The 24,554-nt window shown below is 42.8% G+C and overlaps 1 protein-coding gene and 2 long non-coding RNA genes across 11 annotated transcripts in view, besides 8 other annotated features; 1 reads left to right on the top strand and 2 right to left on the bottom strand.

Annotated features, from left to right (window-relative positions):
* The window catches only part of CAPRIN1 (cell cycle associated protein 1), a 50,880-nt gene extending 33,475 nt beyond the window's left edge, over window positions 1-17,405 (bottom strand). For 3 of the 5 annotated variants that reach the window (NM_005898.5, NM_203364.3, XM_047426960.1), the window contains exons 1-2: window positions 17,265-17,405; window positions 16,500-16,715 (exon numbers count right to left, since the gene is read on the bottom strand). In NM_005898.5, coding sequence (NP_005889.3) covers window positions 16,500-16,715 — 216 coding nt within the window. In that variant the 5' untranslated portion in view covers window positions 17,265-17,405. Of the gene's footprint in view, window positions 1-16,499; window positions 16,837-17,264 lie in introns of those variants that run through there. The other 2 variants (XM_047426959.1, XM_047426961.1) reach the window with 1 other exon arrangement.
* LOC124902660 (uncharacterized) lies at window positions 4,905-8,658 on the bottom strand. The gene is made up of 2 exons (XR_007062651.1): window positions 7,945-8,658; window positions 4,905-6,084 (listed from the first exon to the last, which is right to left on the bottom strand). It is a non-coding gene; the product is annotated as an uncharacterized LOC124902660 (long non-coding RNA).
* Window positions 15,532-15,811: an enhancer, noted in NCBI's record as "active region_4591". NCBI's record gives its function as "activates an Ori minimal core promoter by ATAC-STARR-seq in GM12878 lymphoblastoid cells {active_cell/tissue: GM12878}" and the evidence as "EXISTENCE:reporter gene assay evidence [ECO:0000049][PMID:35858748]".
* Window positions 15,809-24,549, top strand: LOC101929918 (uncharacterized). 5 transcript variants are annotated; one of them, XR_931177.3, is made up of 3 exons: window positions 15,809-16,817; window positions 18,103-18,465; window positions 23,761-24,549. It is a non-coding gene; the product is annotated as an uncharacterized LOC101929918 (long non-coding RNA). The 5 variants fall into 5 exon arrangements; XR_007062650.1 differs by lacking the exon at window positions 15,809-16,817 and adding an exon at window positions 17,012-17,103 and having other exon boundaries at window positions 18,378-18,465; XR_931179.3 differs by lacking the exon at window positions 15,809-16,817 and adding an exon at window positions 17,012-17,103 and having other exon boundaries at window positions 23,765-24,264.
* Window positions 15,842-15,911: an enhancer, noted in NCBI's record as "active region_4590". NCBI's record gives its function as "activates an Ori minimal core promoter by ATAC-STARR-seq in GM12878 lymphoblastoid cells {active_cell/tissue: GM12878}" and the evidence as "EXISTENCE:reporter gene assay evidence [ECO:0000049][PMID:35858748]".
* Window positions 15,982-16,051: an enhancer, noted in NCBI's record as "active region_4589". NCBI's record gives its function as "activates an Ori minimal core promoter by ATAC-STARR-seq in GM12878 lymphoblastoid cells {active_cell/tissue: GM12878}" and the evidence as "EXISTENCE:reporter gene assay evidence [ECO:0000049][PMID:35858748]".
* Window positions 16,122-16,191: an enhancer, noted in NCBI's record as "active region_4588". NCBI's record gives its function as "activates an Ori minimal core promoter by ATAC-STARR-seq in GM12878 lymphoblastoid cells {active_cell/tissue: GM12878}" and the evidence as "EXISTENCE:reporter gene assay evidence [ECO:0000049][PMID:35858748]".
* Window positions 16,802-17,101: a silencer, noted in NCBI's record as "silent region_3250". NCBI's record gives its function as "represses an Ori minimal core promoter by ATAC-STARR-seq in GM12878 lymphoblastoid cells {active_cell/tissue: GM12878}" and the evidence as "EXISTENCE:reporter gene assay evidence [ECO:0000049][PMID:35858748]".
* Window positions 17,142-17,691: a silencer, noted in NCBI's record as "silent region_3249". NCBI's record gives its function as "represses an Ori minimal core promoter by ATAC-STARR-seq in GM12878 lymphoblastoid cells {active_cell/tissue: GM12878}" and the evidence as "EXISTENCE:reporter gene assay evidence [ECO:0000049][PMID:35858748]".
* Window positions 17,142-17,750: a biological region, named in NCBI's record as "ReSE screen-validated silencer GRCh37_chr11:34072933-34073132".
* Window positions 17,551-17,750: a silencer, noted in NCBI's record as "fragment chr11:34072933-34073132 (GRCh37/hg19 assembly coordinates)". NCBI's record gives its function as "represses an EF-1alpha promoter that drives an FKBP-Casp9 reporter gene in an ReSE screen in K562 erythroleukemia cells {active_cell/tissue: K562}" and the evidence as "EXISTENCE:reporter gene assay evidence [ECO:0000049][PMID:32094911]".
* Window positions 24,550-24,554: the final 5 nt, after the last annotated feature.

The raw sequence follows: 24,554 nt of genomic DNA, 5'->3' as shown, positions 1-24,554 counted from the left end.
TTTATGATTTAGGATATTCCAAAATAATAATATTATAATCACAATTCCTCTATTTAAAAATATACAAACAGAAAATACGCAAATAGGAGGGCCTAAAGTTCAGTGCTAGTACACAGTTCATTATTACTGAACAAAAGAAACACTGTTATTAACTTATACCTGGTATTTACTATCTTCATTTTTCTATAGTATTGTACATTTTTCAAGAAAATTGTTGCTAAATCTAGAAATACACCATACATCCCTCATGGGGTAGAGTTTGTATATCTAACCAAAATGGAGGTAGAATCAAACTCCTAAAAAATGTTTGTGTAGCGATGAAAATAAATATAAAAAGATAAACAATGAAAAAGGTAAGAATGGTACCTGAGTGGTAAAATTATAGCCAGAGCTGTGTTCCTTTTGCTTTGTTTTATACACTTAACTACTGTGCAATGAACATATAGTTTGTTTAATGAAAACAATAAGAATTCCACGCAACAGAAAAGATACTAAAATTGACAGACTTCAGTACATTGTTAGGACTCTCACCAATAACAATCCTTAATTATGAACCTATACTATCCTATAGTAGGACAAGCTATCCTAGAGTAGAAAACCTCCAATTTTCTACACAATAACAAATTTAGAATTCATCCAAACCGAGAGCTATCGCAGATTACATTTTCCAAAGATAGCTACAAAATCTGCATGCAGTCTCACATACTGTTCTAAAATGTGACCTTGGCACTACTCCATTAACAACTAGTCTACTTCCCCTGCCATTGTACTTGAGTGAGCTTCAACCAAGAGTACTGTATAAGTGATGCTGTATGATTTCCAAGGCTGAGTCATAAAAGCAATCTATCTCTGCCTTGTTTGCTGGTGATCCAAACACCTTGTATTTGGAGCCTTCAGCCATCATACAAATACAGTAACTCTGAGACTGCCACATGATGAGGAAGCCATGCCATGAAGAAAGGCCTCTTGCTTCTGATCAGCAATCCCTGTGGTTCCACTCATTTTAGTCCAAGCAACAAACATATGAATGAACAAGTCTTAGTCTTCCCACGAGGCCCCCAGTGTCATCGAACAGAAACATCAAAACTCCTGTGTGCCCTGTCTGAATCCCTGACAGGCAGAATCTTTGTGCATAAGAAAATCATGGTTTTAATCCCTTAAATTTTGGATTAATCTGTTACACGGCAATAACTGGAACAAGGTTAAAGGGGAAATGAAAAGGGAAACAGCCAGTATGTGAAACTCAGCTTCATGGTACACATCTTCATGGAACATTATGACAAAAGAAAGTATGCAAAAAGAACTCTGCATAGCCAAAATAAAGATCTACACATTATGGCCAGGCATGGTTGCTCAGGCCTGCAATCCCAGCACTTTGGGAGGCCAAGGCAGAAGGATCACTTGAGGCCAGGAGTTCAAGACCAGCCTGGACAACATAGTGAGAACCTGTCTCTACAAAAAATTTAAAAATTACCGAGGCGTGGAAATTTTTTAACTTAGTGCCTATGGTCCTAGCTACTTGGGAGGCTGAGACAGGATGATCACGAGACCACAAGTCGGAAGTCGTGATGTGCACGACTGCTCTCCAGCCTGGGTGACAGCACAGTATCTTGGCCAATAAAATAAAAATTAAAAAAAAAAAACAACTGTGCATTTTATTAAAGCTCACATGCCTATTTATTCTGATTTAGTATTACTATTAACATATTTCTCATGTTTCAATCCAATAACTGAGATTTTTAAAAGGTGAAGAACTGATGAGTTTACTGTAAGGAAATAAGTATGTAAATCATAACTCAACAATCTCAAGACTCTTTTACAGAATTTTCAAAGAGCAGACCACAGTTCCTTATACCCAGCGAACTGAATTGCCCAGTCAAAAAAATGTAGTAAATCAAAGGTACAGGTCCCGACGCCATGGCTCACACCTGTAATCCCAACACTTTGGGAGGCCAAGGCAGGCAGATCACTTGAGGTCAGGAGTTCAAGACCATCTTGGTCAACATGACAAAATCTCGTCTCTACTAAAAATACAAAAATTAGCTGGGCGTGGTGGCATGAACCTGTAATCCCAGCTACTCAGGAGGCTGAGGCACGAGAATCACTTGAACCCAGGAGGTGGAGACTACACTGAGTCGAGATTGTGTCACTGCATTCCAGCCCGGGAAACAGAGTAAGACTGTCTTAAAAAAAAAAAAAAAAAATGCTGGGTGTGATGGCTCACGCCTGTAATGCTAGCACTTCGGGAGGCTGAGGCGGGTGGATCACAAGGTCAAGAGCTGGAGACCAGCCTGGCCAACATGGTGAAACCCTAACTCTACTGAAAAAAAAAAAATACAAAAATTAGCCAGGCATGGTGGCATATGCTTGTAGTCCCAGCTACTCGGGAGGCTGAGGCAGGAGGTGGAGGTTGCAGTGAGCCAAGATCATGCCACTGCCACTGCACTCCAGCCTGGACAACAGAGTGAGACTCCGTCTCAAAAAAATAAATAAATAAAAAAGGTGGCCAGGCACAGTGGCTCACGCCTGTAATTCCAGCACTTCGGGAGGCTGAGGCAGGCGGATCACAAGGTCAGGAGTTCGAGACCAGCCTGGCCAATACGGTGAAACCCCGTCTCTACTAAAAATACAAAAATGAGCCGGGTATGGAGGCGGCCACCTGTAATCCCAGCTACTCGGGAAGCTGAGGCAGGAGAACTGCTTGAACCCAGGTGGCAGAGGTTGCAGAGAGCCAAGATCGTGCCACTGCACTCCAGCCTGGGTGACAGAGTGAGAATCTGTCTCAAAAAAAATAAATAAATAAATAAATAAAAATAAATTAAAAAGGTACAGAAACTACAGGTCTTGGCCGAGCACAGTGGCTCACACCTGTAATCCTAGCACTTTAGCACTTTGACAGGCCAAGGTGAGGAAACCATCTGAGCTCAAGAGTAGGAGTTCAAGACCAGCCCAGGCAACATGGCAAAACCCTGTCTCTGCAAAAAATACAAAAAGTAGCCGGGCCTGGTGGCGCGCACCTGCAGTCCCAGGAGGTGCAGGTAGGAGGATCACTGAGTCTGGGGAGGGTGAGGCTGCAGTGAGTAGCCTCAACGTGTGATCACGCTATCACACTCCAGCCTGACCAAGAGTGAGATCAAAAGAAACTACAGGTCATCCATATAACATTTTTCTAACCACAATAAAAAAAGAAAGTTTCATCATAGCATTACACATGTTCTTCCATGGCTGTTAACATTTTCTACACTACTATTATAAATATCCTATCCCCTGTCCTTGCCTAAGCTTCAGGAAAGCAGGATCCTAAGTCTGATCAAAGTTTCTAAGAAACAGCACTCATAAGAGGAAATACCAAAACTTATTAAGAAAACTGCAGGATGACAATAAAAACTTAATTAAAAGGCACTAGTTTTTCCCTTATCAGTAAAATATAGGATTTCCTGATCTCTCAGCTATTGAGGTATACAAAGAACTTTATCACCATGGAATCTGAGCTGGGAAGGACTTTGTTTCACTATTATATATAATCAGATCTCTGCAGAGCAGAGACCCTATGTTGGTTTACGTCAGTGATTTTTAAAACTGTAGGCCCCAAACCAGCAACATCAGCATCAACTGGCACCTTGTTAGAAACACAAATTCTCAGGCACTACCCCAGACCTACTGAATCAGAAACTCAGTGGTGGCTGGGGGAACCCAGCAATTTGTAGTTGGTATTGAGTCTTCTGGGTGATTCTGATGCATGCTTAAGTTTGAGAAACACTCATCTCGTTCAAATACATTGTAATTAACTTGTAATAGCCCAGTAGAACCTGGAAATAAATTATTCTGAATCAAACATATGGTATGATTAGTGACCTTAAAAACCATTATACGGGGCCGGGTGCAGTGGCTCACGCCTGTAATCCCAGCACTTTGGGAGGCTGAGGCGGGCAGATCACGAGGTCGGGAGATCGAGACCATCCTGGCTAACAAGGTGAAACCCTGTCTCTACTAAAAATACAAAAAAAAATTAGTCGGGCGTGGTGGCGGGGACCTGTAGTCCCAGCTACTCAGGAGGCTGAGGCAGGAGAAAGGTGAGAACCCGGGAGGTGGAGCTTGCAGTGAGCCGAGATAGCGCCCCTGCACTCCAGCCTGGGCAACAGAGCGAGACTCCATCTCAAAAAAAAAAAAAAAAAAAAAAACCATTATACAGCAGCTTTAATTTGGAAGTAAGTTGTTTAATAAACTTTAAAGTTGAAACTTTAAACAACCCAGAAAACTTGAACTGTGGCTGGATTTCTAGACCAGTTTACGAATCTAACCTAGTAACTATTTCATAAAGAGAACACTCGTTTATGATCTGAACACTTAGGGGTTACCACCTTTGAGAAGGAGAGGTGAGAGAGAAAAAACAAAGGCATACCACTGCCATTTGTAAGTAGTACTTTTGTTAAATCTTGCATTCTTAGCTGACACCTCAGAAGTTAAACTAAGTGGTAAATACCAAAATGTACACTATAAACAGAAAGCCTCTTACGACAATTGGTCTAATTTTTTACTTTTCAAAATGAAAGTAGCTATTACTATAGCTATAAAGATTACTATAGCTTGCAATCTCAGCTTACTCCTTAAGTGGCCTTCCATGATAAGGAAAAGGATATGGTATCTGCACTTCTCCAAATACAATTTGCCTAATCTTTGAAAGCACAGACTACTCAAGAGAAAAATGATGCCATCTTAAGTGGCTTCATTCCTATTGTCACTTCCTATTCAAATGGTTTACATTAAAGTCCAACTAGAAAATTTGTCCACTGGTGTTAAAATTTACAGCATGAACTAAGCGAATATACAAGGAATAGCTTGTCACATTGACAGATCCAACATTATACTAAGAACAGAATGGTAAGATAGGAGTAATAAAGGGCTCCAGACAGACACAGCTTTATTCTTTCCTGGGCTGGAACATGGCTAACAGCAGCAGAAGAGGTAACAATAAATTGGTCAGCTACTCATGAAACAAATAAAATAAGATATTAAGTATTTTTCCTAGAGAATGAAACCATTTTCCTAGCATAAAAATGTATCTTCAGGCCAGGCGCGGTGGCTCACACCTGTAATCCCAGCACTCTGGGAGGCCGAGACAGGTGGATCACCTGAGGTCAGGAGTTCAAGACCAGCCTGACCAACATGGAGAAACCCCGTCTCTACTAAAAATACAAAATTAGCCAGGCATGGTGGCACATGCCTGTAAACACAGCTACTAGGGAGGGTGAGGCAGCGGTGAGCTGAGATCACACCATTGCACTCCAGCCTGGGCAACAAGGGCGAAACTCCATCTCAAAAAAAAACTATCTTCATCAGAAAGCCTACTACGTTACAATGTTGATAACACACACCTGCCCTCTTAGATCCTTTCTAACTTGAAATTCAATTTAGAGTTCCTTTTCAGCTGAGTATCCTAAGTGTATTAAAAATCCATTTACAGCACACATATGAGCAAGATAAAAATCAGGCCATTTCCCAGATTACCCAGAGTCTTTAAGGGGGAATCATGGGAGAGGTGTGACCACACCCAGTAGATGTCAGAGTCATGTGGTACTGGGAAATAATTATCCCAACAAGTGCTATCCAGTCTCGCTCTATATCCTGTTTCTTTACTGCTTTTAATAGTTGACAGTATTCACTATGTAACAGACATTCAAATTTAAAAGGTAGCTAAACCTATCAGGGAGGCATTACTATCAATCATATTTCACCTAACTGTAAATTGAAAGACACAGTTAAATAACTTACCTAAGTAAGGTCTTAAATCCCAGAAAAATCATTTGTGCCTTAACAACCCTCCCCCTTAGAATGTCATTCTGGATTCCAGCTGTTGCTACATTCCAGCTCTGCCTCTGCTGCTGCTGTTTTCTTCCTTTCTCCAATCAGATTATTATGTTGTGCTGAATTGCAATACATCTAGATCTTCCATTCTTCCCAAGAAGTTTTTCATCACCACCAAAGTTACTTTCTTGAAATGGATTTTTTAAATTAAGTTCAGTAGGTGCCATTAGGGTGCCAGAAGAGGGATATCCATGATAGATGTCCTCCTGGGCTTTGCTTCTTTATTGTTATAGCCAACAAATTCCACAAATAAAAAATTTAAGAAGAAATTTTTAATTATGCAATTAAAAATAAATAGCAAAGAGAGATGATAAACTCCAAAAAACCCTAAAAATTCTTCAACTAGACAATTTTAAATAGTCAGAAGGAAGATTAGGAGGAAACATCTGAAAAAAACTAACTTGGCTTTCCAGGAAAACTTCGTAACTCCTATTCTCAAATAAGGAGATGTCTAAACTGAGAGGGAATACTTAAAAATGAAGCCTAAAATAACCAAAGTAGTTAAGAGCACCTAGCTATACTTTATGTATCCAGGCCAAATAAATCACTTCTAGAGTACTGTACCAACTTTTGCAAAAACAAAATATTTCTTTTCCTCTCAACTTTCCATAATCTTTAGCAGTTTTCCTTTTTTTTTTTTTTTTTTGAGACGGAGTTTTGCTCTGTCGCCCAGGCTGGAGTGCAGTGGCGTGATCTCAGCTCACTGCAAGCTCTGCCTCCTAGGTTCACGCCATTCTCCTGCCTCAGCCTCCCGAGTAGCTGGGACTACAGGCGCCCACCACCACGCCCGGCTAATTTTTTTTATTTTTAGTAGAGACGGGGTTTCACTGTGTTAGCCAAGATGGTCTTGATCTCCTGACCTCGTGATCCGCCCGCCTCGGCCTCCCAAAGTGCTGGGATTACAGGCGTGAGCCACCGCGCCCGGTCCAATCTTTACCAGTTTTTCCAGGTATTATTTCAAGTCCCCAATCCCCACATTCTCTGTTCTTCACTTAGACAATTACGAGTTTTGACTTTGCCCACAATGGTAGGCAGCTGACTGTCTCCTATTTGCCCTCCACAAATTCAACTGAGTATTGTTAGCTAGTGAAATCCCCAGAAGACAAAAAAGATAGTAAGCAAAAGTTTCCTCAATTTTTAAAAGCAGGGTAGAAAGAACATACACTACAATCCATAGCTGATCCATGGCAGCTTTCTTCAAATGTTGAAAGCATGCTCATGTAGCGGGAGTCTATGCTGTTCCAGAAAACAAAGACTATTAAACAGTGGTGGTAAGGATATACTTTTTTTTTTTTTTTTTTGAGACAGACTCTCGCTGTGTCACCCATGCTGGAGTGTAGTGGTGCGATCTTGGCTCATGCAGCCTCTGCCTCCCAGGTTCCAGCGATTCTCCTGCCTCAGACTCCCAGGTAACTGGGATTACAGGCATAAGCCACTACGCACGGCTAATTTTTGTATTTTTAGTAGAGACGGGGTTTCACCATGTTGGCCAGGCTGATCTCCAACTCCTGACATCAGGTGATCTGCCCGCCTCAGCCTCCCAAAAGTGTTAGGATTACAGGCATGAGCCATTGTGCCCGGCCGGTAAGGATATACTTCTACCACCAAGAACTTAAAGAGTGGCACACCAATGAAACAAATTTTCATTGAGAAACGAGCACTCTACCAGGCCCTGGAAGACTGGTTAAAGCAGAGGCTGAATGAACACCTGTCAGGAATGCTGGATTTCTGAACGCTAAGAATGGCATAAGAATGCTAACCTAGGCCAGGTGCAGTGGCTCATGCCTGTAATCTCAACACTTTGGGAGGCCAAAGTGGACGAATCTCCTGAGGTCAGGAGTTTGAGACCAGCCTGGGCAACATGATGAAACCTGGTCTCTACTAAAAATACAGAAAATTAGCCGGGTGCGGTGGTGGTTGCCTATAATACCAGCTACTTGGGAGGCTTAGGCAGGAGAATCACTTGAACCTGGGAGGCAGAGGTTGCAGTGAGCTGAGATTGCGCCATTGTACTCCAGCCTGGGCAACAAAAGCAAAACTCCATCTCAAAAAAAAAAAAAAAAAAAAAAAGGATGTTACCTAAGGTTCCATTGTAAGATAATTTTTCAAGCAGGTTAAGTATCCAGGAGTTTAGTTTCACAAGCCGTTTGTCCAATTTTTTAAAAAAGATAAAAGCCAATCCTGTAAAAACCTTTATTCCTTGTCCAAGGTTATAATTATGCAGGTAAGTCTGAGTGAATTGAAGCAGCTGACTCTAGTAGGAAAAAGAAATGTTAACAAGTTCCAGCATCACCTACTTTGAACTATATTCTTAAAAAGTCTAAAGCTTCTAGATTTGAAAAGCAAATTACCATAAATAATCTTAAAGGGCATCTTTCAAAATATTAGTTGCTTTAACCAAGCTATTCCTTAGCATAATTCTGTACAACTTATTTATATTAATACATTCCTTGGGAGTTAAATGTAAAAAAATTACATCCCCACCATCACTGTTTTAATACTTTTTCGTTTTCTAAAACAGCACAGACTCCTGCTACATGAGCAAGCTTTCAGCATTTGAAGATAGCTGCCATGGATCATCTATAGATTGCAATGTGTTCTTTCTACCGTCGTCCTTTTAAAAATTGAGGAAACTTTTGCTTACTATCTTTCCTGTCCACAATGTAAAAAGAAGTTCAATGTAACTCAAAGTGTAAGCCCAAAGGGTTTTTTAATGACTAAAATATATTTCAGTTATTTCTATGTTTAGATAACAGTATTGAGGGGGGCCAGGCACAGTGGGTCAACCCTGTAATCCCAACACTTTGGGAGGCTGAGACAAGAGGATCGCTTAAGGCTAAGAGTTCAAGGTTGGAATGAGCTATGATTGCCCTGCTGAACTCCAGCCTGGGTGATAGTGAGACCCTGTCTCTAAAAAATTAAAATTAAAATATTTTTAGAACAGTATTGAGGAGAATGCAATGAAATTTCCAATAATGTACAATGGTTCTAATAATAAGAATTATCTGTGTTCTCTTAAGACCATTCACATATCTTGCTAATGCTACCCAGCTTTTTTTTTTTTTTTTTTTTTTTGAGATGGAGTATCACTCTGTTGCCCAGGCTAAAGAACAGTGGCGCGATCTCGGCTCACTGCAACGTCTGCCTCCCAGGTTCAAGCAATTCTCCTGTCTCGGCCTCCCAAGTAGCTGGAACTACAGCTGCATGCCACCATGCCCAGCTAATTTTTCATATTTTTAATAGAGGCGGGGTTTCACAGGTTGGCCAGGCTGGTCTCGAACTCCTGACCTCAGGTGATCCACCTGCCTCAGCCTCCCAAAGTGCTGAGATTACAGGCGTGAGCCACCATGCCCAGCCTGCTACCCAGCTTAAAAAAAAAAAAAAAAAAAAAGTATTCTTCTACTTGCCTACTCATCAACTCTACACACCTGTAAAAAGTAAAAAACCCTTCAGGAAAAAAATCAATTTCAATAAAAAAACACTGCAAGTAAATAGTTCTGTGCAAAAAGCATTTCCTCCCTAACCCCATGGATTAATCCATTTTAACAGGGTTGTTAATGAAGCTACAGATATTTCTATGTAATGATTTGGCCAAACTACCAAGTACTTATTCAGCATATACCATGTGTGAGAAAGCGCAGCAAAGTAATGTTAATAGTCTCTGCCCACAAAGAGCTTATTACCAATTTAGAAAAACATGTAAGGTTAACAACACAAGGCAATATAAAAATGTCAAGAAGTTTTGGACGCCGAGGCAGGCAGATCACAAGGTCAGGAGTTCAAGACCAGCATGGCCAACATGGCGAAACCCCGTCTCTACTAAAAATACAAAAAATTAGCCAGGTGTGGTGGCATGCACCTGTAGTCCCAGCTACTCAGGAGGCTGAGGCAAGAGAATCACTTGAACCCAGGAGGCGGAGGTTGCAGTGAGCCAAGACCACACCATTGCACTCCAGCCTGGGCGACACAGCAAGACTCCGTCTCAAAAAAAAAAAAAAAACAATGTCAAGAAGTGTACAGACAATAGGTAACAGGGGAAGTTAAAGGAAACAAACTACTTTAGCTGAGCATGGTCAAGAAGCACACCCTCCCCTTTCCTCAGGAAGTTTGAATTTTGAACTCTACTCAGTAAATTATCTTTCACCCACGTTTTTGTACTCATAGTCTATCTAACAAAAGCACTGTAGTAGAGCTAGTGAAAGAAAGAAATAAATGAGCTAAAACAAAGCAATTTACAGTTCCAACTTTGGATGAATTTCTCTTCTGCTACTCCTCTCACTCTTCTATACTGTATACACACACACCATTCATTTCCCCCAGAAAAAGGAACCAACTACCAAAAAATACCCAGAAGCTTGGAATACAGTAATTTGGATGAAAAGGTTGTCACACTTCTTATTTCTCTCTACTGGTAATGCTTTTTCCAGATTTTTCCGGTCTACAACATACCAAGCTGGAGTAGAGTCTGACAAATGTACATAGGAAGCTAAACATAAAGAAAAACTTCAGAGTTTTAACTTTATAAAAGTTTATTTCATTACAATATGGATGTCCCAATGATACCTGACACACTGGGATTTTACCTTACCGATATTCTCAGAACCCCATTACCCGGACAATGCAAACACAAAGTTCAACAATGAGACATTAATAAAAGTCTAATAATAAGGAAATGGAAAGCATTTTTCTTTTGCATTCAGTTTTTTAAAACAGAAAAACTCTAAGGATTTGAAGCAAAAGGCTTTACTTGATTCTACATAATTAAACATGAAAACTACACTTAGGCCGTGGAACATTACAAATTCTAATTACTCCCATAAAACATTATTTAAGAGGCCGGGTGTGGTGGCTCACGCCTGTAATCCCAGCACTTTGGGAGGCCAAGGCGTGCAGATCACTTGAGGTCAGGAGTTTGAGACCAGCCTGGTCAACATGGCAAAACCCCGTCTCTACTAAAAATACAAAAATTAGCTGGGCGTGGTGGCATGCACCTGTAATCCCAGCTACTCGGGAGGCTGAGGCATGAGAATCACTTGAACCCAGGAGGCAGAGGTTGCAGTGAGCTGAGATTGCACCACTGCACTCCAGTCCTGGGCGACAGAGCAAGATTCTGTTTCAAAAAAAACTGCGAGAATTTTGGAAATCACCCATTCCAACCTAAGTCATTCCATATAAACATCTCAATTTTGTCTTCTATAAAATGAACTGGACTAAATTCTAAGGTGGTTTAAGCTCTAAAAAAAAACTCTTAGGCCGGACATGGTGGCTCATGCCTATAATCCCAACACTTTGGAGGCTGAAGTGGGTGGATCACTTCAGGTCAGGCGTTTTGAGACCAGCCTGGCCAACATGGTGAAATCCCATCTCTACTAAAAATATAAAAAATTAGCCGGGCGTGGTGGCGGGCGCCTGTAATCCCAGCTACTCAGGAGGCTAAGGCAGGAGAATAGCTTGAACCTGGGAGGGGGAGGTTGTAGTGAGCCGAGGTCATGCCATTACACTCCAGCCTGGGCAACGAGAGCAAAACTGTCTCAAATAATGATAATAAATAAAAATTAAAAATCCTCTAAATTTTATAACAGTGTAAGATTATAGCTATGACAAAATTGCTATAAGTTTAACCTTTTGCAAAAGTATTGCAAAAATTAACACTTTTACTAAAGGAAAAGTGTTAGTTTTTCTAAAAGATGAAACAGTACTAGTCTTCATCTAGCCCTAAATGTAAACTAGGAAATTAATTACATAAAATTTTGGCAAATTGTATGCTTAATCTGTAAGTCACACAAAATGCATTCTCAAATATCTGCCACATGGGTAGTATCCTAGAGTACACTAATTTGGCCACGTTAAAACAATACATTCTCAATGTAATACTTAGGCTTCGACTCTCACCCTAGAAAAAGGTACCCATTATCACTTGGGGGAATTCACAGCTTTAAATACTTCCCAGTGCTACACATACAAACACACACAGTCAAGCAAAGGGAAACAAATTAAGCATTACAGCTTTTTTCTATGACAAGGTGAATGCAAAATAATCTTGCCCTCTGCATTGCAGAAGAATAGTTCTTGCAACCCATGGAAAAGCAAACACATCAAGAGATCTTAAATGTCAAAGAAGGCTTCAGGTAATAGCCTCAAGGAAAGATTTTACTTATAAAATAGTTAAGAATGTTTTTATTTTAAAACACTGAACACATAAGTTCTGCACAACAGCTGCAATGAAAATTCTAAGCACAGACACACTGCAACGTTCTAGAAAGAAATGTTACCCTCACAACAACAGCATTCTTTTTAAAGAATACTACTAACTGCAAAGATGAAGTGCAGAAAGCCTTCAGGAAAAAGTATTAAAAACACTACACTTCTGGCTATCAGTTTTGGTCACTTAGTGGTTAAAAAGCTGTCAGGCTATTTTTGCATTTTACGCAAGTGATCATTAGTTAATCTTTCACCTACCAAAGTCACTAGAGTCTAAACCTATTATATTCACAAAGAATATAACAATTTTAAATGTCATCTATTAAAACATCCTTTATTCTATATCACAACTGATTACATCTAATAATATCAAATGAGGTCTCTCTTCAGTTAAAATTAAGACTTGGTTTTGAAATATCTTGCATAGCCTAGGGCCCAGTTCAGCACCAATGAACTGATAAAGAAAACTAGGCAGTTAATCATTCAATTCAATATTACCTGTAAGATTTGCAAATGGATTTTACACTTGATTATCACAGCTGTATTTCTTCTCTTTGCTAAACATTCATGTACTCTTTATAAGCCTGAATTTAAAAACCCACCAAGCCTTTTAGTTGCATTACATAACACGATCATATTTCATCAACATTAAGAGCATGCATTCTCAATGAGCAGATGCTTAGCTTTTTCTTTAATGGCTCAAATTATTAGGAAATAAACAACTTTGTTTTTTAAAGTACAATAAAATTATTTCAATTCTCTGTTTTAATTTAAGCAATACTACATATCCATAGTCATTTTTGCCAGGATATTTGATTTTAAAATCCATAAAAAAAGCATTTTGGTCCAGAAGGCTCCGATAAGAATAGGTCAAGATTGAAATAAAGCTCAAATGTAAGTTGCTAAATGGACTGAAGTCAAAACAAATCTAATTGTAAATAGTACCTCACTTTACTCCACAAGGGTTTCTAAAGAGGAATTCAAAACTGATTTGTAAAGCAATCCTATTTTAGTGCATTAGAAATGCTCACTTATACTTAAAAACAGTTAAGTCTTCTCACAAGTAAATCATCTAAATATAAAAAGGATTTAAACTAAAAACCAGATGTGCTTAAATTTAGGGCAAATCCAAATGCCCTGGGTTTTTCAAAGGGCAAAAGATATAGTTTTAATAGCAATTAAGTCAACATCAATACTGCCAACTTAACTACTTAACATGTAGGTAGAGTTCAGTCTGTGGCTTATCAAAGTCTCAAGACTTAACTGTAACTTGACCTTTTTGCTGCTATCTACCACTTAAAACACTGAGAAGACAGAAAAAAAAGTTACTTTGTGCAGTTTGTTGAATCTCCATTATTAACACGGCAATCTTTCAGTATGTATTAGCCTAGTTAATAACCTATGTAATAATTACATTATTTTCTCCTTTATGACTTTAGGGGAGGCCCGGCATGGTGGCTCACACCTGTAATCCCAGCACTCTGGGAGGCCGAGGCGGCTGGATCACCTGAGGTCAGGAGTTCTAGACCAACCTGACCAACAAGGTAAAACCTGTCTCTACTAAAAATACAAAAATTAGTTGGGCGTGGTGGCAGGTGCCTGTAACCCCAGCTACTCTGGGCGGGGGGCCGAGGCAGGAGAATCGCTTGAACCCAGGAGGCGGAGGTTGCAGTGAACCGAGATCACATCGTCGCACTCCAGCCTGGCGGACAAGAGCGAGACTTCTCAAAGAAAAAAAAATTGCCTGGGGTGGTGGCGCACACTTGTAATCACAGCTACTTAGGAGGCTGAAGCGGGAGGATCACTTGAACCCGGGAGGTGGAGGTTGCAGGAAGCCAAGATCATCCTACCGCACTCCAGCCTGGGCACTCCAGCCTGGGCAACAGAGATTCATCTCAAAAAATAAAAATAAAATAACAAAATCACTTGAGGGTAGGGTATGACAGAGTATAGTAATTCACATACACCTATACACATTTAATGACCAGTCATGGTTCAAGTCCTCAGGAGGGGCTTATAAACTAGATTTATATTTTTTTTTCAGAAGTACTTGAACACTAGATTCTAACAGCCACCTCACAACTAAATTGGCTGCCAATCAGCACCTACCTTTATATTAACTTCTCTGAGGAGTTATCTTTCAGTCATTAATGTCTCTACACTTTATATCACTAATCATTAATGTTCATAATTAGTATTAACACATTATTAATGTTCACAATCATTAATATTTTATGTTCAATTACTGTCCTAGAAAAAAACATTTCCAAGAAATTCTAAAGAATCAAAAACTCAAGTAGCAGCCAGATCAGCAGGCTTGCTTACTGCATTAAAATTTTAAAAAGAGGCCGGGCACAGGGGCTCACTCCTGTAACAGCACTTTGGAAGACCAAGGCGGGCGGATCAGGAGGTCAAGAGATCGAGACAATCCTGGCCAACAGGGTGAAACCCTGTCTCTACTAAAAATACAAAAAATTAGCTGGGCGTGGTGGCAGGCACCTGTACTCCCAGCTACTTGGGAGGCTGAGGGAGGAGAATCGCTTGAACCCGGGAGGTGGAGGTTGCAGTGAGCTGAGATCGCGCCATTGTACTCCAGCCTGGGCAAAAAGATCGAAACTCCGTCTCAAAAAAAAAAAAATTTAAGAAGATACCCAACAGGGTAAACTAAATCATGTGTCAGACTCAGAAGATACTGGCCTTGGGCATGCTTATTCCATTCAACATTTGAATGTAGCTACCTTACACTTAAAATACTTTTGTTACTTTCTTGATGTAACTACATTTACTATTCCAATTACCTATAATAAAACATACATTTATCAAAATAAAGGATTGGGAAAAAAAAGAAATCCCAAGTCCATGAAATTCAAGTAAAACTTCCAACCTTCAATACCGAAGATGAAACAGGGAAGTATCAAATCTAAATGTTTTAAAACTCTCCCAAAATGTAAAATATATAAGTAAAATTAATAAGACCTAAACATCACCAGTTTTCTTCAACTTATTTCCCACAGCCCAAGTTTTAGCCAGTTACTATATCAGCACCTCAAGTAACACTATTAGGTGTCTGGCCACATAAACACTGCAAAATGATTTCCTGGAAATTCAAGATGTTATAAATATGTTTTCCTAGAGGCAGACAAGTAGAAGTTATCAAGGCTTCATTTTACTTTATAAGGTAAAATTCAAGTTAACATGATAGTCACAGACGTAATTACCTCGTTTTTACAAACGACTAATTTGTTTCTCCCCTTCCACCTCTGATCTTACTCATTTTAATTATTCACTCTGCCCAGACCTTTTCTCTACATACATACACACGCCCCTCTAAACAAGAGTTTACACTGTCCTGCGATGAAAGCATAAAACAAAAGGCTGACTTGCAGATGAAGATATACCTCAGTAGTTTGATCTACAAGGACTAAATATTGAATCCAAAAAATCGTGGGTGTGGCTCGATTTTTTTTTTTTTTAGAGGGGGGCCTAAGGAGGCCAGTCGGGGCGGCTGCCTGGTCTCTGCCCTCCCCCTCTGCTTTCGCTTTGTGCTCACAATGCAGCTCCAGTAAAGCGCTTCCCTCTCCCCGCAGCCGCCGCCATGTTAGACGCTCTCTCCATGTGCCCCGAGTCCCAGCCATCCTCTCCAGTCTCCCCAGGACCCAGCCCCCAACGAATCTAAATCGTGGCAGTCCCCCGCCCCTTCACAGTCCCCTAGGAACAAAAAGTCGCTGCAGAAAATCATCTCGCGATTGAGCTGAGCCTGAGGCTCGGGGGGACACCTAAACAATTGAAACAAAGAGGGAAACGCAGGGGAGCCCATCGCATGGGCGCGGGGGTAGCAAATCGAAGACCCATTCAAAATGGGCCTGCCGGAAAGGCAGTTCTACCTTAAGATTCTAAACACACTTCTCTCCTACGGAAGAAGAGGGGACGCTCGACAGGTCTCGAGTGCATGGTAACCGAGCGGACAGACCCCAAGGCTGCAGGACGCAGGCCGCCCCAACTCCACGAGGCGGTCGGTTGAACCCGGAGCCCCCCGCGCAGGGACCTCTTCATTTTGGGCCCTCGTCAGAGAAATCGGGCCTCAGAGACGGAAAGAAGGGCACCATACAGTGAAGTCCTGACGACAGGCCCCCACCCTCACATGTCCCACTCCTAAAGGCCAAAAAGCCGGACCCACAGCGGAAGAGTAATAAAGAGGCCTGGGGTACAGTGCCGCGTCCGAGTCAGGTGACAAGTGCCTCTTCCAAGAGCCCGTTTTCTGGGCACGAAGCTCCCGCTGAACGTGGAGACGGGGCGTGTGGGCCAGGGGGTGGGAGGAGGGGACCTAGTAACGCTCCCGAGACGAAAAGAAGCGAAGGCTCCAGCGACCAGGGTCGGAGGGGCCGCAGAGCCCGGCCGCAGCCACCCCTCCCTTCCCCGCCAACTCCTGGCACCTTTTTCTTCTCCAGGTTCCGAAGTTTCTTGTCGATCACCCCGAGAATCTGCTTCATGGCCTCGGTCTGGACAGCGCCGGTGCCGGTTGCGGGGTGCTGAGAAGCCGGCGCGGCGGCCCCGGCTCCCGCGGCCGCCTCACTCCCGGAGGAACCCGACGGCGGTGGCGGTCCGGACGACTTGCTGCCGCTCCCGCTGTGGCTGGTGGCCGAGGGCATCTTCAGACCGCAAGGAGAGAGAAGAAAAAGCGGGAGGAAGGACAAGAGCGGCCAGTCAGGAGACGGACGGGGCGAGACGCGGGACAAAACGCGCAGCGAGCGGTAGCCTACGCGAGCGGGTGGGGGAGGGGGCGCGGCGCGCCTCGAGGGCAGGAAGAGTGCGCGGGCGCGCGCGCGACCCGCCAGCGGGGCGCCCGGCTGGGCCTCGCACCGCCCCCCGACCCGCCCCTCCCCCGCGGAGCCGCCGGCTCGGCCTACCAGCCCGGGGGCTCCGAGGCTCGCGCCGGAGGCGGGGCATCGCCGCGCCGGCCGCCAACGGCCACTGCAACGGTCCCTACCGGGGAGGGCCGGCTTTTGCCGGCTTCCGGAGAAGGGAGGAAAGAGAGAGGTCGGGGCTTGGGGGCAGAGAAGGGCATGGGAAATGACCGGGGTGGGGTGGGGGGACTTGGGGGCAAGCCCCTCGGAAGCTCCAGCGGGTCCGGAGATAAAGGACACCCGGGCGCAGCGGCCCTCTTCCCCTGCAGCGGCTCGGTCCCGGGTGGCGCTCACCGTGCGCGCGCGGAGGCCGCTGGAAATCACGAGTGGGCAGCTGAGGGGGCAAGGGTGGTGGTCCCTTCCGGGCAGTGTCGCGCGCTCCGTGGGCGCAGGCCGCTTCGCCCTGTCCCGCTGCACCGAGAGCCGCTCCTAGTGAGGCGAGAGCCGGGAGCGGGAGGGACTTAGCCAGCCAGCAGCCCTCTGGGTCGCGAGGGGCGGGAGAAGCGGAGAGCGGGGGCCTTCGCGGCCGCTCGGGCTGCCCGGCGCGAACGCCTGCCCGGAAGAGGCCGCCCGCTAGCTTCTCCGCCGTCCCCCGGCCCCGGCGCTGTGGGGCGCCTCCTGGACGCAGGTGGGGATGGCCCCGGCAAGGCCGAAGGAAAGGCCCCTTGAGTTTTGAGAGCAATCGACGCTAGGGTCCTTCAGGCGAAATCGTTTGACGCCCAAACGGGGACAATAGGTGTCAAGCAGCTGGCTCTGGAGCTGGCAACTGCCCCTTGAAGAGCCCTTATTTGGGGTGGGGGTGGGGGTTGGGGGGCAAAGGTTTCTGCAAGTAAGGGGTGCGTGGGGTGGGTGGTGCGATCCCAGCTTCTAGAATTCCTTCTGTATGCAGAGCGAGCAAACTCCATACCCCAAAACGTCTTTTGAAAAAAAGACAACTCGCCGCTTCCCCACCAAACAATCACCCAGTAACCTAGGAGTTCTCTGTAGAACGTGTCGGACACGGTCATGGTTGGTGGCTTTTTAAATCCTAAAGCTCTGGCCTCACAAAGAGTCTTCAGCTACCCTATGATGTTATACATCCAGTAGGCCTGAGTATTACGAATTATTAGACTTTTGTTTCCTTTTTTTTTAGGTTTACCTAACACTGTAAAGAGAACGTTCAATGAAATACAAAGAAAAAGATGATTTTTTTGCTCCAAGAGAATTATTCCAGCCTTGGGGTGGAGTGGGTGTGGACAGTGAGCAGAAAAACAAGAAACCAAGTTCTGGGAGGAAATAAAATGAATATAATCAGTGGAAAATTCAGCAACGCAATATTGTGTGACAACAGTAAATGACCAATTTATAATTTAAATTCTATGAAAAAGAGATTTAGAAGAGAGTTCTACCAAACCCACTGTTCCCTAGGGAATAAAATGAGTAACGCTGACTGGCAACAGTGCATCCTGAGGGAGCCTGGAGAAACAACAGCAGCCTCCGACCTCAAGATATCCTGGTTAGCTGCAAAGTCTGTTATATATTCATTCAAATATTTATTAAGCACCTTACTGTGTGCTGGGAACTCTTAAGTGCTAGGGATTATGAACAAAACATATTTACATGGAGCTTACAATCTAAGTAAGGGGAAGACAAGTAAATACATGTCAGATAGTGAAATGGTAGAGAAAAGAAAAAACGGTGGTCAGGGAAAGCCTTACTGACATTTGAGCTAGTACTGAAGGAAGTGAGGAAGAAGGCTAAGCAGCTACCTTGGAGGAGGAATTTTCCAGGTAGAGGAAACACCAAGTACTAAGATCTGAGACGGAGTGTGCTTTTTGGGTTCAAGGAACAGCACGGAAACCATAGTGGCAAGAGCAGAGAGTAGGAGATGAGGTCAAACATATTAAAGGGGGCTGGTCTTGTAGGGCCTGAAAGACCACGGTAAGGACTTTGGCTTTTGCTGCATTAGATGGGGAGTCATAGTTTCAAAATTTAGTCACCTAAACCATCCTTAGCACTACGCTGAGCAATTATGCCAGGCCTAGAGGCTAGAAACGGAGATGATAATCCTTTAGCTCCTTGCAACTCAAAGTTTATTCAGCCCAACCTCTCTCACTACCACTATCACTACTATCTTGGACTGCATAGCAGACTTAACTGAATCTACATTTTAACAAGATCTTCAGGAGATTTGTGTGTACATTAAAGTTTCAGAAATCACTGTTTTGTTCCTCGGAATTGACCAATGTCTAAAGTTTTATTGGGAGACATCCAATCCATCTATGCACATCCATTCTATGACTGCCTCTCTGCCATAGCACAGCAGAGTTGAGTACTTGGGTGTGCAACAGACAGTAGGGTGTGCAAAACCTAGAATACTATCTCTTCTTTTACAAAAAAAGTGTTTGCCAATCCCTGGTTTAAAACTACAAAGGGGCCAGGTGAAGGGGCTCATGCCTGTAATTCCAACACTTTGGGAAGCCAAGGCTGGCAGATCACTTGAGGTCAGGAGTTCGAGACCAGCCTGGCCAATATGGCAAATCCTGTCTCTACTAAAAATACAAAAAAATTTGCTGGGTGTGGTGGCGCATGCCTGTAATTACAGCTGCTCAGGAGGTTGAGGCACGAGAACCCGGGAGGCAGAGGCTGCAGTGAGCCAAGATTGTGCCACTGCATTCCAGCCTAAGCAACAGAGTGAGACTGTCTCAAAAAACAAAAAACAACTGCAAATGGTACACATCCATCACAGTTCAACAGAGGGCCCTGTTCGTAGTAGTCACTCAGTAGATTCATGCTGATGCCATATCTCAAGTGTTGCTGATCACTGTACCACAAGAGAACTCAGGAATATCTCAGTCAATTAAATGCTTTAGACAAGTAGATATGCATCACATCTGCTTAAATTCATTGGCCAAAAAGAGTCACATGACCCTATCCAACTATAAGGGAGTCAAGAGATGGTATTCTATCAGATGCCGGGTAGGAAGCAGATGAGCCAGAAATATTTGGTGAATATATGAAGCTGTCACGCTTTCACTTCCTATATCATCCCAATCCCATTTCATTGGTGTTCTGACATTCTGCGTTTGTCTGTTCAGGTCAGCAAGTCCAGAAAGACCAATAAATTTAAGGCAAAGCTGTGTCCTAAAGCTCACTTCCTGCCCAGATCAATGCCAAGGTCTCAGTCATTCAAATTTGTGTATTTCCTACTTGACTGAAGCTATGTTTATGTGAATTTTAAATACTCATTTTTTAAACCCTTTTTTCTAGTACAGAGCTATGCAGTAACTTGCAGTCATTGCATCATTGAAGAAATAAAGGGTTCCCAGAAAACACACTGGAGGAGCAGAATATGTTTATAAATGGTTTATAAATTTAAAAACCTTGGTATACTTTAATATATGCCAATATTAAATATATTAACATAAAGCAAATACAACAATATGCAAAATAATATATTTCAATAACAAATCTTTCAAGCTGACATTTGCTTGTTCAATTCATTAGACCACAGCACTTTGAAGTTTCCACAAAGTGAATAATTAAACTATTTATCCTGATCATTTTAGCAAAATAATTCAACTGCTTGAACTTGAGTCACCCAATAAGCTAATGCTTATTTGTAGCAAAAGAGAGGAATCTTCATCTGAATTATATGAACTGCCTCTTTGTTTCAGGTTGACAGAAACCTGACCAAAGTGTGAACTACACTGTTCACATAGCTAAGGCTCTTAAAGTTTCTTAAATTTGTTTTTCCATCATTTTACTACAAGTCAGGAGTAGACATTTCTATCATAATTTTTCCAGTACAGTCTTTTTTATTGTAATTCAATCAATGATTGTCTATGTGTCCATGAACCACCACTAAACTCTAAGCTTTTCAAAGAAAAAGAGCAGTCGTTTTGTTTTTCCATCTCTGGATCCTCATAAGCAATAGCATGCCTGGCACAACTATTTTGTCACTAAGTATTGCCTACTGTATTAACATATCAGTACGGTTTTAATATTATTATTACTATTGGTCCATACTGTCTCTGAATTCTTACATTTTGGTCATCAGCTGAGATAACATCCTTTTCCGCTTATATTTTCCTATGTCCACCTTTTCTTGCGTGTAATATTATGCTTAGAAACAGGACTTCATGTTTTGTAGAGGTACAATATGTTCAGAATAGTTATTTCAGATTTCACGAAATACTGTTGTTTGTTATTGAACACTCTTAGAAGCTACACACTTTACTCAATGTAAAAGTAAACACAGTGGTATGTGCTTGAAATCCCAGCTACTCGGGAGGCTGAAATGAGAGCATTAGTTGAGCCCAGTAGTTCGAGGATGCAATATCATGTCACTACACTCCAGCGTGGACAACAGAGTAAAACCCAGCATCTAAAAAATAAAAATTTTATTTTTATTTTATTTTATTTATTTATTTTTTTGAGATGGAGTATCATTCTGTCGCCCAGGCTGGAGTGCAGTGGCAAGATCTCAGCTCATTGCAATCTCTACCTCCTGGGTTCAAGTGGTTCTCCTGCCTCAGCCTCCCGAGTAGCTGGGATTACAGGTGCATGCCATCATGCCCGACTAATTTTTGTATTTTTGGTAGAGACAGGATTTCACCATGTTGGCCAGGCTGGCCTCAAATTCCTGAGTTCAGGCAACCCACCTGCCTTGGCCTCCCAAAGAGCTGGGATTACAGGCCTGAGCCACTGCGCCCAGCCTAAAAATAAAAATGTTTTAAAAGCAAAAACACCTTGGCCACAGGTACTAAAATCTTTCATATAGTTACTTATATGAATTGTATGTTGTCTTAACATCATGTTTCTATTTCAGTGGTTCCCAACCTGTGGTGATTTTGTCCCTCGGGGACACTTGATTTAAAGGTCTCCTAAGCACCAAATCACTAGCAATGTCTAGAAGTATTTAGTTGTCACAACTTGAGGGGAAGATGTTAATTGCATCCAGTTTGTAGAGGCCAAAGATGCTTCTAAACATCTTACAATGCACAAAACAACACACAATTATTCAGACCAAAACATCAATAATGCCGAGTTTGGGAAATGCTGTTCTATTTTATGAGATAAAAGATGTAGTCACTGGCCAGGCACGGTGGCTCATGCTTGTAATTCCAGCACTTTGGGAGGCCAAGGCAGACGGATCACCCAAGGTCAGGAGTTCGAGACCAGCCTGGCCAACATGGTGAAACCCTGTTTCTACTAAAAATACAAAAATTAGCCGGGCATGGTGGCGGGTGCCTGTAATCCCAGCTACTCAGGAGGCTGAGGAAGGAGAATCACTTGAACCTGGGAGGCAGAGGTTGCAGTGAACCAAGATTGCGCCACTGCACTCCAGCCTGGGTGACAGGGCAAGACTCTATCTCAAAAAACAAAACAAAAAAGTAGTCACTTGTTCTAGCACTTTACAAGTAAAGCTACTCTGATGACACTGGCGCCCCAAATTAAAAATGCCTTTAGAAATGCCTTATTGAGGTGGCTCACGCCTGTAATCCCAGCACTTTGGGAGGCTAAGGTGGGTGGATCACCTGAGGTCAGGAGTTTGAGACCAGTCTGGCTAACGTGGCGAAACCCCGTCTCTACTAAAAAAAATGTAAAAATTAGGCGGGTATGGTGGTGCATGCCTGTAATCCTAGCTACTCAGGAGGCTGAGGCAGGAGAATCACTTGAACCCAGGAAGCGGAGGTTGCAGTGAGCTGAGATCACGGCACTGCACTCCAGCCTGGGCAACAGAGCAAGACTCTGTCTCAAAAAAAAAAAAAAAAAAAAGGAAGAAAGAAAGAAGGGGGGTGGGGCGCGGGTGGGGGAGAGAGAGAGAGAGAAAGAGAAAGAAAGAAAGAGAAAAAGGGGGGAGCGTGGAGGGGGGAGAGAGACAGGAAGGAAGGAAGGAAGGAAGGAAGGAAGGAAGGAAGGAAGGAAGGAAAAGAAAAAAAAGAGAACTAACTGCATTATGCATGTTGCCAAGATGCAAGCTGATCTGTTCGTAGGGTGATCTTGCATCTTGGCAATATGAATAATCATGGTCATTTCAGGCAATAAAGTATTCTGTGTATCAATTCCCCTACTAATACATACAACCACTGTGAACAATAATTTGAGAAAAATAACTTCCTTCAAGGTAACAACTAACTGCTCCATGAATTTTGGAAGGAATAAAACTTTATGTATCTCAGTTAATACATACTAGGGGAATATAAGTATAGAAGTAATCAGCTTATTCAAGATTGTTCCTATAGCTGGTCAGGATAGTATTATTTCAAGAATAATTTTCACACCTAACAGCACAACTCCCCCTATATTAATGGTTTACTCTTTGTGTGTTGATAACTTGTTTATCTTGAGAGCCTGAGAACTTGATTTAAAGGTCTCCTAAGCACCAAATCACTAGAGATGTGAAAAATGTCATGAGAAGATGTAGGTCCTGTGTTTGTTTTTTTCTTGCATAGATTTTCAGTGGATGTAGAATTTGCAAAGGAGAGAGCCCTACCCCCCACACCCCAATTCTCGTCTTTGATGCAGTGCTTCCCAAAGTAGGCAAGGACCACCAATTTCCAAATGACCTGGGGTACTTGTCAAAATGAAAATTCCTAGACTCCCCCCCAGACATTGCCTCTACATCCCAGAATCTGAAACCTAGGAACATCCATTTAAAAAACGAAACTCCCCTTTGCACATTCAAGCTTGTGAATCTCTGCTCTATAGACGTAGAGTGTACATGCTACTCATTTTCACAAAAATAAGTGCCAAAAATGTTCAAAAACATCTTCTTTTCATGGTATCTTCCTATCTTTCCTCCCAGGTAGTGCTGTGACAGTGTCTTAAGTAGGGCATGTTGATAGATGGAAAAGGACGGCAAACTCGAGGTGCTGATTCAGGAAGAAGCAGATTCCAAGATGGAAGAGAAAATATCGAGAGAAATATGCCGAGAGAAGAATCCAGGCAGAATGGAATCCAGGCAGAATGGTGAATGGAAGGTTCGGGTGACCAAGAGAAAGGAAGGGTGACTCAGCAAGTCTGTAGTTTCAGCTCTTGTATAGTACGTTATACTTGAAAAGCTGAAGCCTTTTCTCGGGGAAGAGTCAGAACGGCCTGGAGGGCTTGCTAAAGCGCTGCTGGCTGGGCCCCGCCCGCTGAATGACTAATGGAGACTCTGAGGGCCGGCTGGTAATTTGAGTTTCTAACAAGCCCTGTTTCGATGCTGGTACAGCCGATCTAGGGAAAATATTGGAACAAGGAAAAAACTAAGAAGAAATTTTAAAAAGTAATCAAAGGCGGCCAAGTGAGGTGGCTCACGCCTGTGATCCTAGCGCTTTGGGAGGCCGAGGCGGGCAGATATCTGAGGTCAGGGGTTTGAAGACCAACATGGAGAAACCACGTCTCTACTAGAAATACGAAAACTAGCCAGGCGTGGTGGCTAATGCCTGTAATCCTAACTAGTCAGGAGGCTGAGGCAGAGGAGTCGCTTGAACCCAGGAGGGGGAGGTTGCAGTGAGCCGAGATCGCGCCACTGCACTCCAGCCTGGGCAACAAAGACTCCATCTCAAAAAAAAAAAAAAAAGTAATAAAAAATGACAGTAGTGTACTGTAATATGT

The sequence above is a fragment of the Homo sapiens genome, chromosome 11 (assembly GCF_000001405.40).
Source record: "Homo sapiens chromosome 11, GRCh38.p14 Primary Assembly".
NCBI lineage: Eukaryota > Metazoa > Chordata > Mammalia > Primates > Hominidae > Homo > Homo sapiens.
The sequence above is the reverse complement of the archived record's forward strand: the minus strand, read 5'-3'. Positions and strand labels throughout refer to the sequence as shown.